This window comes from Homo sapiens, chromosome 7, assembly GCF_000001405.40.
Source record: "Homo sapiens chromosome 7, GRCh38.p14 Primary Assembly".
In the NCBI taxonomy this organism is placed as follows: domain Eukaryota; kingdom Metazoa; phylum Chordata; class Mammalia; order Primates; family Hominidae; genus Homo; species Homo sapiens.
In genome coordinates, this window is record NC_000007.14 from 29,634,666 (window position 1) to 29,637,693 (window position 3,028).

Genomic DNA, 3,028 nt, shown 5'->3' on the forward strand with positions numbered 1-3,028 from the left:
TGAGATCACGCCATTGCACTATAGCCTGAGCAACAAGAGCGAAACTCTGTCTCAAAAAGAAAAGAAAGAAAGAAAGAAAGAAAGAAAGAAAGAAAGAAAGAAAGAAAGAAAGAAAGAACTTCAATAATATTCCATAATACTTATTTTATTACTATATTATAATAATCGACATTTATCCTTTATTAGTTGTAATTCTCACAAAAGCTTGATGATGTGAGTTCTTTTATTATTCTCATTTTACAGATGAGGAAACAGGTTTGGAGAAGATAAATACCTTGCCCAAAAATGTAGCATGTCCAATCCTCTTTCCCCAGATAGAGGCTGGGATGAAGCTGGCCAAGGGAGTGTCTTCTCCCTGAAGTTGCAAGTATTTCAGAATCAGGAGCCCTGCAGAGTCCTGAGTTAAAGAGTTAGCCAACAGTGATGTTTCAGAGAAGGGCAAGGGCTCAGAAGCTGATCCTGGAATCCACACAACAGACCCAGAAAATCTGTCAACTACAGAGATGAAAGCAAGGATGATGCATGGAAGGGAGGGAAGTTTCCAGGCTAACACCTGGGGTAGCAGTGTCACTCCTGTCTGTGTTTAGTATGCCCAGAGGGGCCAGGTGTGGGTGGGCAGTCCAGAGCTGAAACCAACCCATTTCCATGCACTGCTTAGTACAGAATGCCAAGTAAAGGCTTCCGTTATTTCTTTGAAACGGTGCTGCCAAGTAATTGTCATAGAACATTTATGGGTCTGTCCTTCCGCCCCTCCCTGCTTTCCCCTGGAATAGCAAGCAGAGCTGGTTGTAAAGTTCAGCACCTTTTCCTGGGTGCTCTGGAGTAAATAAAGCCATTTCCTCCTGCCCACAATGATGAGCTATTCCTGGTTGGGTAATATTGACCTCTCACCTATGGATTTGTGCACCTAGAAAAGGATTTACTTTATTTAGTTAAGAGTTTGGAAGAAATGCTTTCTGTGTACTGCATAAGTATCCAATGTCTGTTTCTTAGTTATGTTTGCTTTACAGTTACCATGGAAAGAATAAAACCAAATGGAAAAACGTAGCAACATGGCTGTCTACAAAACAGAAAAGAAATCTTAAAGATATTTTAAGAGGCAAAGATGCTACTTATTTTTTGTTATAGACAGCAGCCAGAAGGCAAAGAACCTTTTAGGATGTTTTCCTTGGTATGGCCAGACAGAGGAGCTATTGTGAATAAGTGGCAGCAGAGGGCACTCTTCCTACGGGTTAGTTTCTATCCTCACTTCTCCAAGGAAAACACTTGTTAAAATGCCTGTGTATATATATGTTAACAAGTTTATGGCCCTTTAAAAAATAGATGACAGATTAGATAGATAATAGATAGATAGAAGATAGATGATATATAGATATGATGAGAGATGATAGATGATAGTTGACATAGATAATTGATAGATGATAATTAGGTAGATTATTGATATATGGGTAGATACATAGATGATAGTTGATATAGATAATCGATGATAGATGGTTGATAGATGGATATAGAGATGATAGTTGATATAGATAATTGATAGATGATAGGTAATTAGATGATTGATAGAGGGATATATAGATGACAGTTGATATAGATAATTGATAGATAATAGATGATTGATAGATGGATAGATATATTGATGATAGTTGATACAGATAGGTAATTGATAGATGATAGATAGATGATTGGTAGATATATAGATGATATGTTGTAACCGAGGGAGTTATAGAGAAACGCCACATTCTGAGGCTAATTCAGGAGTCCTTTTATTGCCGGCGACCGAGAGATGGCTAGAGCTCAAAATTCTCTTGGCCTCGAAGAACGGGATAGATTTCTTTTTAAACCATGGTCTAAATAGGGGAGGGGGAGCCTACTTGAAGCAATTTTTACAGAAGCAGAACAGGCAAAAAGTTAAAAAAATTAATGGTTACAGAGATAGTTACAGAAAAATACAGTTCCAGGTGCAGGGGCTTAAACTATCACAAAGAGATAAATGCAGGGGCTTGGGTACCATCCGCCGAGCACGTCCCCAGGAGCTGCTGGTACAGCTTGCCTCAATATCTTATCAGTAAGTGCATTCCTGGATGTGCTTGGAGTCAGCTTGCACTAGTTATTCCCTTAAGGGAGGGGGATAAGGGGACTGCAAGTGAAGAAGCTAAAATGGAGAGTGTCCAGCTATCTCAGCTAAGAGAGAGTCACTCTGAGCAGAAGGGTCAGAAGTCACCCTTCTGACCCACTGTACACGTAAACTTGGGGCAGGTTAAAACAGGGTAGGTATCACATTCCCCACTCATGTTTTGGGTAATCAAATCATTGATTCTTCAGTCACAACAAGGGAGTTATATTGGGTTTTAAGATACGTAAGTTTGACAGAAGCTATGAACTGCTTTATAAATTTAAGAAACCAATTTAATATACAAGGCCCGAAGACTAAACCTAACAAGAGGAGGAGAAGGGGTCCCGCCAATCCAGTGATTAGAGTAGTTAGCCATAGATTCCAGTTAAACATGTTTTGGTACCAGGGGTGTTATTTTCCAATTCCTGTTAGCGTCTATCTAGATTTTCTCGAACTTTTTGGAGAGTATCCTTTATGACCCCAGACTGATTGGCATAGAAACAACAACTCTCTCCTAGAGCTGCGCATAACCCTCCTTGGGAGAGAAATAGCAGATCTAGGCCTCGGGGGTTTTGAAGTACTACTTCAGCTAGAGACTCTACCTGGGTATGTAGCATATTTATGGCTGACTGGAGATTGCTTAAATCAGCATCTACTTGCTGAGACAGAGACATTAGTCCAGTTTCTCCCTGAACCAGGGCAGCCGTGCCAATGGCTGCTGATCCAGCTATGCTAAGGCTGGCCAGAAGGGGTACGAAGAGTGGGGCGGCTCTGCGAAACCTGGAATGTAACTCAGGGGGAGCGATGAGAAGTCACCCTTCTGACCCGCTGTACACGTAAACTTGGGGCAGTATATGAACTAACACGCACAGGAGAGGTCCAGGTTCAGTCCCATTGATGCAATGAGTGAGC